This window comes from Homo sapiens, chromosome 10, assembly GCF_000001405.40.
Source record: "Homo sapiens chromosome 10, GRCh38.p14 Primary Assembly".
NCBI classification, from domain to species: domain Eukaryota; kingdom Metazoa; phylum Chordata; class Mammalia; order Primates; family Hominidae; genus Homo; species Homo sapiens.
Window position 1 is genome coordinate 113,171,808 of NC_000010.11, and position 13,380 is coordinate 113,185,187.

The 13,380-nt window shown below is 46.1% G+C and overlaps 2 annotated features.

Annotated features, from left to right (window-relative positions):
- Positions 4,168-4,336: a silencer, noted in NCBI's record as "fragment chr10:114935734-114935902 (GRCh37/hg19 assembly coordinates)". NCBI's record gives its function as "represses an EF-1alpha promoter that drives an FKBP-Casp9 reporter gene in an ReSE screen in K562 erythroleukemia cells {active_cell/tissue: K562}" and the evidence as "EXISTENCE:reporter gene assay evidence [ECO:0000049][PMID:32094911]".
- Positions 11,473-11,974: an enhancer, noted in NCBI's record as "H3K4me1 hESC enhancer chr10:114943039-114943540 (GRCh37/hg19 assembly coordinates)". NCBI's record gives its function as "activates a minimal SCP1, AML or CMV promoter by ChIP-STARR-seq in primed H9 embryonic stem cells {active_cell/tissue: H9 hESC(primed)}" and the evidence as "EXISTENCE:reporter gene assay evidence [ECO:0000049][PMID:30033119]".

Below are 13,380 nucleotides of genomic sequence, written 5' to 3' on the forward strand. Positions count from 1 at the left end.
GTGCCTGAGGCAAATGTTGCAAACCAGAGCTGGGAATCACGAATGAACAGGGCCACAGATTGGGTTTTCGAAAGGATTCCTATCTGAGGTTGGCTTCTTTGTCTCCCATTCCATATCTGGTTCCGCACTCCCAGGCACCTGGCCATCGGAGAGGCCTGCCGTGAACTCTGGCCTGTGTCCGATGGGCAACACTGGTGAGTTCTGGCTCTGAAGCTGGGTTTTTAAAAGCTAGTACCTCGTGGATACACTTGATGGGAGATGTAAGCACTTTCATTCATTCAGTGACTATTTCTTGGGCACCTGCTTACACCAGGGACTGTTCTAGGAACTGGCATGTAAGTCTGGGTGAAGCCAGCTTGGTCTCCAGTTTTCCTGGGTTTATTTCTGCACCATCTTATAGGCTGGAGTTTTTAAGGAAAGGGAACACCAACATTCCTGAGGCCTGGACAAGCCGCTCACCTAGAAAGACATTTTATGTAAGGATAATAACAATAGAAATTGCTAAAAACTCGACTTGCATTTCTCTTTTAATACTCATGGGGATGGAAATTGCTTTTATGTTCATTTTACAGATGTAGAAAGTGACACTAAGAGGAGTTAAGTTGCTTCCCCAAAAACACATATCTGGGAAGCAAAGAGCTTAAGATTTGAACCCAGGCAGCCTGACTTAGGAGCCTGCATAGCTAAATACCATGTTATATTTCTTATTATAAAGATGGCTCATCGGGGTAACTAGGGAGAGGTGGAGGGTAGAGCCAATTTGATCCACGGCCTTGTGAGAGGGTATTGCTATGGGACCACCAGGCATTCTTTCTCCCTGTCAGTGCACAGAAGTTTTCTTACTCTGGTATCTGTGCATGTAATAATAATAACAACAGTTGATAATTATATAAATCAAGCATTTTGGACCCAGCACTAAAAGCTATATGATCCTGGAACTGGAAGAAAATTAGAAGTATATATTCTAATTTGTATATACATATTATATAGTGTTTTTCAGATTGTGGCTTGCAATGTATCCATAGGTCAGGAGATAGATTTTGTGGAATAAGACCAATATTTTTAAAAAATAAGATTGAATGGGCCGGGTGCAGTGGCTCATGTCTATAATCCCAGCACTTTGGGAGGCCAAGCTGAGTGGATCACTTGAGGTCAGGAGTTGAAGACCAGCCTGGCCAACATGGTAAAACCCCATATCTACTAAAAATGTAAAAATTTAGCTGGGCATTGTGGCGAATGCCTGTAGTCCCAGCTACTTGGGAGCCTGAGGCACAAGAATCGCTTGAATCTGGAAGGTGGAGGTTGCAGTGAGCCGAGATCACAACACTGCACTCCAGCCTGGGCAACATCGCAAGACTCCATCTCCAAAAAAAAAAAAAAAAGAAAGATGGAATGAAATAGAAAATATGGAAGACAGAATATATTGCTGTATGTGTGTACTGTATTTTGTAAAATCTTTCTTACTGTGGTTAGGGTAAGAAAGTTTAGAAGCCAAGTCTGAACATTAATATTAGCTATCATATATTGAATATAATAGTTTCAATATATAAAATGCAGTATGCACGGTGTATAAAATTCAGTTAATGGACTAAAGTTTATTGATGGGCATTTATTAAGTGTTACACCAGTATTTCCCAAAACGGGCTCTATGGGGCACTTAAACCCCATGACGTCTTCTTGGGCAAATCTGTTTGGGTAACATCTCATACTTTGCCTCCTCTTAGAGTTTCAGAATGCTCATTCATTTATAAGCCTTTATGAAAGTCTGCCAAAAAGGACCCTCTTTCACTTTACCTATCATGTTTCCCAAATGTAATTGACCATAGAAAACTTTTTTGAGAGGGTAATACTTATTAATTTCCTTCTGAATTAATGTTCCTTGGAGTGCATCTTCAGAAATATAATGCTTTACATGTATATTAGATGTCTTAATTCTCTTAACAACAATATGTTGTAGTATTATTCCCAATTTTCAGGTTATAAAACTGGGGTGTAAGTTAAATAGCTGCCATTTATTAAATACTAATTATATGCCAAGTGTATTTGTCAGCTATTTCTGCAATAATGCTGTTAATACATGATCTCAAAACTCAGTTGCTTACAAGAGCAAGCATTTCTTCTCTTGCCATTTGGTCTGTGAATCGGCTGTGACTCTCATGCGATTAGCTGAGCTTGGTACCAGGCTAAGTTGGGTTCAGGTCTGTTGAACACGTGTCTTTTTCAGAGACTAGTGGCTACCCAGGGCATGTCCCTATAGTTACGGCAGAAACATATGCGTTTTCTTAAGGACTCAGTTTGAAACTGGCACATGGTCAATTCCAACCACATTCCATTGGCCAAAACATGGCCCAGCTGCACATCAATAGGTTGGAAAAATATACTCTGCCGATATTTAAAGGAACAATACAATCAAATGGCAAAGGACATGGTTGTATAATTCTAGTATAGGGAAGAATAACTGGGCACAAAAATAATACAATTTGCCAAGGATGGCATGAATCACTTATTAGCTCCTTTAATTTGTATAAGAATTGGTTGAGGTAGGTATAGTTATTGCCCCCCTTTTATACACAAGTAAACTGAGGCTGAGAGATTTCAACCTTCTTGCACTGGCAAGAGCCTCCAATGGAATGTTGAATAGGAGTGGTGATAACGGCTTCCTTGACTTTTTTCTGAACTCAGAGAAAAATCATTCATTGTTTTTCCATTAAGTATAGTGTTAGCTGTATGTTTTTGTAGATACATTTTACCAAGTTAGGAAAATTCCTTTTTCCAGGATCTTGGCTCACTATAACCTCTGCCTCCTGGGTTCAAGGAATTCTCCTGCCTCAGCCTCCCAAGTAGCTGGGCTTACAGGTGCCTGCCACCACACCCAGCTAATTTTTGTATTTTTAGTAGAGATGGAGTTTCACCATGTTGGCCAGGCTGGTCTCGAACTCCTGACCTCAAGTGATCTGCCTGCTTCAGCCTCCCAAAGTGCTGGGATTACAGGCGTGAGCCACTGCGTCCAGCCTGAAAAATTCTTTTCTAGCTTTAGTTTGCTGAAAGTATCTACCATCAGCTGATCTTAAAAGTGAAAAAGGCAAGCCACGGTCTAGAAGAAAATGTTTGTAATACATTCATCTGACAAAGGACTAATACCGAGAGATAAAAAGCATTCCTAAAAATCAAAAGAAAAGATCGCTCAACCAATTAAAAATGGGCAAAAAGCAAAGCAAAACTGAAAAACAGAACTAGGTAATTCACAAAAGGGAATTACCAAAACATATCCAAATGGGATATGTTTTACCTTAGTAGATGAACACAGCAGCTTCATTCATAATGGCCAAAAACTGGACATGAGCTGCCTGCCCATTAGTGGTAGAAAGGATGAATAAATTGTGGTTGTCGTACAATAGATGAGTAGTTCTCATCCAGTGCCCTCAGGATTCCTCTGGATTTTTCTCATAGATTATATATGCTCCATTCTGCTGAAATGATGAAGCTGATATTGGATGAATAAGGGAAACAAAAGGCCTCTAGGTTGTGTGTGTCACATAGAACCAGTAACTAAACACGGGAGCTATGACTGCCATGTGGTCTATCAAGTGGGGCCCAAGCAGGAAGGCACCATGGCTAAGTCATGAAACAAGCCTTTTGAAAAAAAAGATTTAATGCCCCGTATTCACTTGATTTATGGAATTATGAAGGATTCAGGTTAAGCAATGTTAACTTCCTCTGGATTCTAAAGGTAGTGCTGGTTGCTTCTTAAAATAAAACCAAACAAGCTATGTGGTGCCCACCCCTCACCCACATTCCTGTTAGCTTTATGAGACCAACTATGGCAAGAAATTCTCAGTGAAAAATGTAGATGCAATGGGGCTTCTGGAATGGCCTCTAAGAATAAATAATAATAAAACAGATTAAATTCCTATTAATAACTGTTTCAGATAACACTCTGCTAGAAATTGCCCTTGTGTCTATTTGCTTTACAGGGTGCAAGGGTTGACGGGAGGGTAGAAATAAAGAATCTTGGGCATGTTACTGAGATTCGAGCTTGTTTCTGGTGTCAGGATATGGAGGGAACTCACACAGGTTCTGGGGCTCCTTGTTTAGTCCCCCTCCCCCGGGGCCTCAGAATGCCCAAGGAGGAGGTGCGGATACATCTAAGTCTTATCTTGCTGAGTAGAAATTCCAGGAGGCCTTTGTAGAAAAAAGCATGTGCTCTCAATAGAATCTGACCGCCTAGTCCTTAAGAGCTGGAAAGAAGGACCAGAGGAAACTGAAGCCCAGAGAGGGGGTCCCGGGAGTGTCTTGCCTGAAGCCACACAGCTGGGTGCTGGCTGGATCTCGGCTAGATGCCATGATTCCTTGTAATCTAGATCAGGGATCTTTCTCATAACTACCTGTTGCTTCAAATTCTCTACTGGCTCGCTTTGATGTGGGGAATGCTAACCCTGCTGCCAGCTGTAAGACTTGTTCCCGATCCTGGGTGATTTTCAGGTTTGGAGATGCCAATGCAAAATGAAGGGCTTGAGTGTGAAGCTCCTGGAAATCCAGCCACCACCTGCTAGCGGTGCCTCCGATGTGCCAGGCACCATACGTGGCTCCCAGGCATCTGCGGCAGCATGCATTATTTTATTTGTTCTTCACCCAAATACTGTGATGTAAGTCTTCCTACTCCCGTTGTCAGGGGAAGCAGTGAAGTGACGTGTTCAGGATGGGTCAGCCAAAAAGTGGCAGATCTGGGATTAAAATTAGGCGTGTGACTACAGAGTTGTTTTTTTTCCCCACTTACCCTATGAATAAGAATCTTAAGAAGAAACTGAGTCCCCAACATTTCTCGGAATCTTGGGAAACTCCATAAGGGTTAGGCTAGACAGGGACATTTGTCTGCTTGGTAGAAACAGAGCTGTCCCACTGGGAACCTAATGTCCTGTGGCTTCCACATCCTGGGTTCCGGGGCTGTGTGGAGGAAGATGCAAGTGGCCAGCCACCAGGCTAAGGGGGCCTGGCTGCTTCTCCTTCCCCTGGTCCCAGGAACTGTGGCCTCACCCAGCAGCCCAGCTGTAGTGGGCAATGGGGCAAGATCACCACCCAGGCCAGCATTGGTGCAAACTGCGATGGCTGACCCCTAAGGCCAGGTGGGTGCAGGATGGACGTCCATAATTACCAGGGCCCCATATTTGGGGGTTCCTGTTGGCAGCCCCCTGAGGTAATGCTTAGAAGACTCTCTTGGTGCCTCAAGGCCAGTGTAGGGCATTGGAGGTGGAGGCTCGGCCTTTGGAGTGGACAGCCTGGCCCTCTGCAAGGCTGTCTCTGTTTTCCTCAGGAAGGGGCTCTGCCCACCACACGGCATCCTCCCACCCGGCCCTCCCCTCCGCCCCCTCCACCTTATATAATGGCACATTATACAACATCGCAAAGCAGGTGGTATTTTTAAAGACAGCAAGTGAGCATTTTTTTTGGCCTAAATTTGGGAATGAAACAGATGGATTTTTAAGACTCTAGGCTTTTCCTATGAATAGTAACCGTTGTTCTCCTCTGCTTTTAAACACCAGTTTCAAGACCACCTCCAGCAACCAATCAGCACTCTGTTATTTAATTATAACAAAATTCTTAGCCCTGTCTGCTGCTGCTCGGACAAGTGGGGGGCACTGGATCAATTTCTGGAGCCAGACAGACTTGCCAACAACAATTTTCCTTTTCCCAAGGGGCCTCGGAGGCCTGGAGTGGGTCCCAGGTTCCTCCTCTCCAGCCTGCTCAATGTGGGCTCCCTGACAGCGAGTTTGAAAGGGTTATAGAGAGGCAGATAAAGGCCGCGCTTGTTGCAGCCTTCCCTGACAGGGCCGACCCCCACGCCAGTGAGCTCATGCCTGCCTCATTATGGCTGGTGCCAGATTTTTTCCATTAACAGGTAATTGAGTAGAAACTAAAATAAGCGAAGTTTGTTTCATCCCTTGGATTTTCTTGCTGGGATTTGAAAGAAAAACACTTTAGCATCGTTAGTGGAGGAGTGTCCTTGAAAACGTATTTATGTTTTCCAAGTGATTTGTCGCTTGGTAGGTGTAATTAGCCTGTCCCCGGCCTCTCCCTTCTTGTTTTTATTCTTTAAGGGCCACAGTGTTCAGCGAATAGGAGCTGGTTTCCTGGGCCCTTCGCTGTCAGACACCCTGTTTTAAGAGTGGATAGGTTAGGTATGCTCGCCGTAGATAACTAGCTTTTCTCTGCTCGCTCTTTCGCTCAAGTGCACACGCACCTGGAGAATCAGCAGGGGCCTGTGGGTCCCGCAGCCTCAGGTGCTACCTTTGAGGCCCTGCTCGCCTCTCCTGGATGGTGCCTGCCTCCCTCCACCTTTGCACCAGGTAGATGGCTGAGGGGCAGAGGGGCTTTCTCTCACTGTATCTCTCTGCAGCTATCTTCCTGTGTGCCCAGTCCCAGGTTTTAATTTCACAGCTTCTTCTTCCAGGAGCAGATGCTGAGGACTGACGGCGCCTGTCTCAGCTCTGGCTTGTGTTCCATTTCATGGAGATTCCCCGTCACTGCCCAGCCTCAAATTCCCCATGAAGTCCGGAGCTTCAGATGAATTTGTGAGAAAGAGGGAGAGAAGGAGGGAGATGGGGCAGGCGTGGGGGCATGGTCTCCACACTTGGGAGTTTTCATTTCACCTGGAGCACCCGAGCATCTTGTTTCCATCGTGAACCCCACTGAGATTCTGGTAAGTGCTCATGACTGTCACCCCAAAGAAAATGTAGATTCTTGGACACAAACAGCATGCCGCATATGTTTTCCGTCATTTCATGAGCTCCAGGGTAAGAATTACTGCACTAGCCATGCAGGGCAAATGAATCAATGTCATTAAAGCAAGTTGTTTCCCCCCCGACCCCCCACCCTCAGAATGCTCCACTCTTTCACACACCTGATAGAGAGGTCTTTCTAAGGGAAAGAAGCCTCCAGAAATTTGCGACTTTCTGGTGAACAAAAACTTAGTTCATCTGACTGCATTCATTTAGTATGAAACCCATGATAATTATTGTTACTGAATATTCATATGTCCCTGCTTTGTGCCCCACAGGGTGCCTTTACAACGAGGATAAGATCCTTGCTGGCCTAAAGAGAACATTCCAGTAGTGGGGCTTACGGACAGACAATAAGGATCACACAAAAGGGCCTAGATTTCAGTAAATGCCTCAGGGAGGTAAACACCTGAGCAGTAACCTCCAGGGGTCAAGGAAGGCCTCTCAAGGAGATGCTATCTTACCTGAGGCCTGAAACATGAGTTTTCTCTCTCTGCTCAAAGTTAGGGTCCTGAAGCCATCCCCCTTAGACCCTCACATCACAGTGCTCAGGCCTTTAAACACGTCTCATTGGATCCTCATGGCCTCCAAAGCTTTGGTAGAGACCCCATTTCACAGATGTGGATACTGAGGCCTGGAGCCACCTGTCTGAGGCATGGGAGTAAGGAACCAGAACTGGAGCTGGGCCTCTCAGATCCCCAAGCCTCTGTTCTTCCTTTTTTAAAAAAATAGCTCTACGGAAGTATAATTTAGATACCAGAAAACTCATTTGTTTGAAGCGTACAATTCAATGACTTTTAGGAAATTTACAGAGTTGTGCAACCATCACCACAATTCAAGTTTAGAACATTTTCATCACCCCAAAACCTCCGTTTTGCTCAGCTGTAGTCACTCCCTGTTCCCACGCCCAGCCCCAGGCAGCTGCTAATCTACTTCCCTCCTCTGCGGATTTGGCTTTTTGCACATTGCATGTACATGGAATCATACGACACATGGTCTTTTGTGTCTGGCTTCTTTTACTCAGCACAGTGTCTCAAACATTTTTTCATTATCATCCACTCCTCCCCCAAGGAGAAAAATTAAATGTAATTTAAATTCTCCTTAAAGACAGAAATTAAATACCAAGAAACATGAGTTTGTCCGGTAGGCTTGAGCTTTGGAGGGCTACAAACCACTGTAGTATCTAAGGAGATATATATATATATATATATATATATACACACACATATATATATATATATATTTTTATATATATAAATATATTTTGGTCTCTAAGAACCAATTTTGTCCCCCTTAGGGGAAAAAACCATCTCCCTTGAGAATATTTTTGAGGTTCATTCACTTGTAGTGTGTATCATCAGTAGTGCTGTCCTTTTGGTGGTTGTAGAGTGTTTCATTGTGTGGATCTGCTGTGTTTTGTTTATGCATTCACCAGCTAACGGACCTTACTTTGGCTATTAAACACCTGGCCCTTTAAACACCATGCTGAAGCATGCAGCCCACTCCCCATTTTAGGAAGAGCTCTTGGGCACCTCAGCACCACTCCTGGGGAATGGGATCATCCTCAGTGCAGTGTCCTCATCTGTAAATGGGAGGTGATCATCCCTAGGCTGCAGGGCTGCAGGGACGATGATCTGAAATAGTATCTGCTTGGTGTCGCTTAGTAGATGACCACAGCTCAGTTCAAGTTCAAGGCCTTCTGTACCTCCTGCCCCTTTCCATGGGAGAAGGTGCCCCCTTTGAAATTTGCCCCACTCAGCTTCCATCCATGTCTCCATGGATTATGTAGTGTCTGACTTTATTATTTTCCCCTTTTTTTCTGGTGTTATTCAGATCAATCCCAACATGGCTTCTTAACAGGAATCTCAAATATTTCTCTCCTTTGGTGCTTGTCTTCTGGTCTTCGTGATTGGCACATTTCCAGGGACCAGTTGATTTTATCTGCTGCTAAAACACGGGACCTCTTGTGGGGTAGGGGTGCATGTTGATGCTGCAGTCAAAAGAGCACTGGACAGAGTCCAGAGACTGTGCTTCAGACCCAGCAGGGCTGAGTGGCCTGGGCCGAACCCCAGAGGTATTTTGAATTAACTTCTCCTTTCTGTAAAAGGCATCCTCTTTACATACTCTGGCCTCACAAAATTATAAACAGCAAATGAGAAATCAGCTTGGGAAGTGCCTTAACCTGGCAAGGCCCACGGGTAAAGAAAGAAGCTGCTGGAGTCCCATCGGGGGGTCCTGCCCAGTGATGCTTTCCTGTCTGCTACGGGGGACCGGGGGTGTTGGTGGGGTGTGCTTATGGCGCCCCTGCGCAGCTCCCTGGCCTGCCACAGTGCCCAGGGCTTTGGCTCCTGCTGCTTCCCTGTAAGATGTGAAATAACTCAAAGCAGATATTGAGCCCAGTGTGTCAGGGCAGGAGAGAAACTTCAGAGCTGGCCAGAGGGAGCCTTGCCCTGAAGGGAGTGTCCTCCTGGGAGGGCCTGGGGATGCCCAGTCGGGGGAGGGGCAGCAGGCAGTTCCCTTGCACACTGTAGTTTTCATCCCACTCCAGCCTCCCCCTCCTCACCCCCCTGCCATTTTTCTATTTCTTTATTTCTTTTCTTTAATTTTTTTTTTTTTTTTTTGATACAAGAGTCTCACTCTGTCACCCAGGCTGGAGTCCAGTGGCACAATTTCGGCTCACTGCAACCTCCATAACCTGGGTTCAAGCAATTCTCCTAACCCAGCCCCCCGAGTAGCTGGGACTACAGGCACGCACCATCACATCTGGCTAATTTTTGTATTTTTAGTAGAGACAGGGTTTCACCATGTTGGCCAGGCTGGTCTCGAACTCCTGACCTCAAGTGATCCACCTGCTTTGGTCTCCCAAACCATTTTTGTATTTCCATTGATCAGACCTGCATGGTAGGGAACCAGCTGGATTTGTGATCTGAGCATAGGGGTTAGGAGAGGGAACTCTGGATTCAGACTGCCTGAGTTTGAATTTCAGATGAGTAGCTTTTTGGCTTGGACCAAGTTAAGGAACTTCTCAAAGTCTTGGTGTTCTCTGCTGTAAGAGGGGACAAAGGCACCACCTACTTCTAGGAGGCTCAGATGAGGCCACAGTGCTTAGGCCCGAGGTTAACACTTCAGCCTGATGAGCTATTATTACTATTTCTGTTGCCTTGAGTTCTCTGGGGCAGGAGAGAAGAGGACCCTGATCAAGAGCAGCCTTCTGGGAGGGAGGAGGCAGTTGCCTGCATGATGTGTTTTGGAAAACCACCAGACTCAAATTTGCAGATCACTCCCCTGGCCTGAGATCCCCTGCAAGATTCATTCAGTGTGGCCCTGAAGGCCTTTCAGCCTCTCTGCACCCCTGTTCAAAGGCAGTTGTCCCATGGGAGGATAGCTGCAGCCTTTTCAGCCTTCACAGCTGAGTCCCAGAGACAGGGGCCCTAAGAGAATACAGGTGGGTGCAAAGGGAGATAGGGTCCCCACATCCAGGACCTCATCCCTCCTGGCCCCAATCCCTGAGCCCAGCATGGCCTTCAGGATCAACTATTTGGCCCTGAATTATTCTCATTAAAGGCAGATATTGGAGCAGATTGTTCATCAAGGGTCTTGGAGTTGAAAATGATATTTTTTCCTAATAAGATATTTTTGTTTAGAGAAAGAGAGGAAAAAATAGGTTGAATGAATGAACACAGTCACACATGCATGAATATCGGGTCAAGCAGCTCAGAGTCTGTCTAAGCTTCGTACTTGCATATAGTTTGTCTTCAGAGCAACATGCCATTCCATTTCTTCTTCCTTTGTCACCATGGTGACTTGTTGCAGAGGGAAAGTGGCTTGGTCCAGTGACCGAGGAGCTGGCCCAGATCACCCTCCAACTAGTGTACCAGTAAGTATTTAACAACTAGCACTTAGGGGAAAAAGTTCTGATTTGTGGCATTTGCCAGTTTCTGTGGTGTAAATACTCCACTGTGGCTCTCTGTGTGACATTACAGTACGTGCAGTTGGGAAGAGATGCTCAGAAACACACTATCCTCCAGTATCTCTGCCAGTATAGACACAGTAATCGTATAAAACCTCGGGCATAGAGAATAGTAAAGTTATTACGGAGAGATGAGTTTTGAATATTCCTTTTGCTGTATTTATTTGTTAAGTTTATATAAGTTAATTTTAATTTTTAAATTTTTATTTATTTATTTTTGAGACACAGTTTCATTCTGTTGCCCAGGTTGGAGTACAGTGGCACAACCTCCGCCTCCTGGGTTCAAGTGATTCTCCTGCCTCAGCCTCCCAGGTAGCTGGGATTACATGCGCGTGCCACCACGCCCAACTAATTTTTGCATTATTAGTAGAGATGGGGTTTCACCATGTTGGCCAGGCTGGTCTCGAACTCCTGACATCAAGTGATCACCCGCCTCAGCCTCCCAAAGTACTGGGATTATAGGTGTGAGGCACCACTGCACCCGGCCTCATAAGTTAACTTTTTTAAAGCTGGCTTGCAAAAAAATTACTGAAAAGTTAGCCATCAGCTCTCAAAAGCCAGTATGCGCTGGATCTGGCATGCTACTGCCCCCAACTCTTGGGCTTGTGGGAGCCCGTGGAGACTCTGCAGAGGAGCTCTAGAGCCTTCCCTTTGCCAGTCTCTGGAACGTTCCATTTAGAGGACAGCCCCTCTGCATGTCCCGCCAGGATGACTGCCCTTGTTGACAGTCCTGAGTCTGCAGGATAAATGGAGCTTAGCTCACCTACGAACGCAGCCTTTGCCATGAACTGCTTCCTCCAAAAATGTGGCGGCTTGTCCTATCTGAGTCTGGACTTCTTCAGAAAGAAGACTCAAAGATACTCACTTTTCAGCCTATTCACGACGTGAGGAAATTTTAGCAACCCTCACAAAGGGAGATTCATGTGAAAGGAAAAGTGCTCAGAGGTCCAAAGAAATCAGACTGGGAATCCCACTTTTTTTCAGGGATATTGAAGAGAAGTTCCAGGGGCCAACTCTATTCTCCTGACGTCCCGTCAGGAGAGCAGGGCATTGTGGGTAACCCTCTTGCAGACAAGAAGCAAGGTCAGGGCCCAGGCCCCATGCAGGCTTCGGGCCGGCCTTGCTCCTTGTGCACAGTGCTGGGCCTGGCCATGAGAGATGCCGGCGGGGAGCCCAGGCTTTCAGGAACCTCTCCCCCTGCCTCACCCATGACTCCCCAGGCTTCTGCCGCCCATTGGAGCATTATCCTGGAAGAAAGCCACGCGGGCTGAATGAGCGGCATCTGCTTTCTGAAGGAGCCGCTCTGCTGCCCCGGAGGCTGCCTGGCTCCTGGCCCTGGATCATTGTGGAAGGACAAAGCTGACACACACAACAATCCCACGACAATCTCCTCTGGGCCCTTTCTTCTTTATTATTGTTATGATTACCTTTCAAACACTCCAGCTCCTTGGGCTCGTTATCTCTGGTGAGGCCTTTGGCCAAAGTGTGTGGGGGCCACCTCTCCCTCCTTTGCACCCCCTCACCCTCATGGGCCCGGCTTCACTGCTGTCTCTTTGACAAAATACATAAAACTGATACTGATCGGTTAACATACATGACATCTTTAAACTTTAATCCATTTTCCCTCTCTCAACGCGGCGGGCCGGCCTCTGTAGAGGTGTCTGTCCATTGTTCCCTGTCAAAGCCTTCTTGAGTGGGTTTCCCACTGAGACACTTTTGTGTGAGTCAAATCAAGATGATAGGTAGCGGAGAAGAAAAAGCAGAGACGAGAAGGTTAGCCCCTCATTTTAGACTTTAAGAAAAATCTGCCAGCAGGTGCCAGTCGGAGTGGGTAACGCACATGAAAGGCCAAGTCCAAGCTGGGTCGCCTGTGTCACAAGAGGAGTTTTTCAGGGAGAAGCACACAAAACACACATTGTCGTGGTCGCACACAGAGACATAAATTTAGGAACATGCTCACCCTTCGCCTGAACATAGTTAGCTCTGATAATGAGGAACAATGAGCCGGAATGAAGTCTCCTGGATCGAGTAGCAAGAACATTGACACTTGCTTATGCTCCCATAAAAGTGGCTTCCCTCCTCTTCCTCCTGCCATCCCTCCCCCAGGGCCAAATGACCCTCCACCACACACTGCTCTCCTTCCACACCTTTGCTTGGTGGAAGCATAGAAAGGACACGGAGCCAACAGGAGGCAGAGGACCTCTGTGGCTTTCCTGGCTCTTCCATATTGGAGAAGAATCCATTTTGGCATCTGAAGTCCGTGTAGGGGAAAGTTCAATATAGGATGCGTGTTGCCTGATGGACAAGGTGTGCAAATATGGATTCTCAAGATGGCAGTGGAAAATTGAGACAGGAGAAGGGGAGGCAGAAAGGTGAACTAGCCAAACAGAAGGCTCTGGAATCAGGCTGCCTGGCTTCAATCTGGTTCTACTACTTCTGCTACATTTAGCTGTGGGGTCATGGTGAATTGTTTCATTCCTAAGTGCCTCCCTTTCGTCTTCTGTTAGATGGGCTAGTACCAGCTCACAGACTTGGCAGCAAGATGAAATGTCTATCAACCACAAAGCACATAGAAAGTACTCAGTATGTGTTGACTGCTATTGAACCAATTCCCTGAGATAAAAAAGAAAGCAG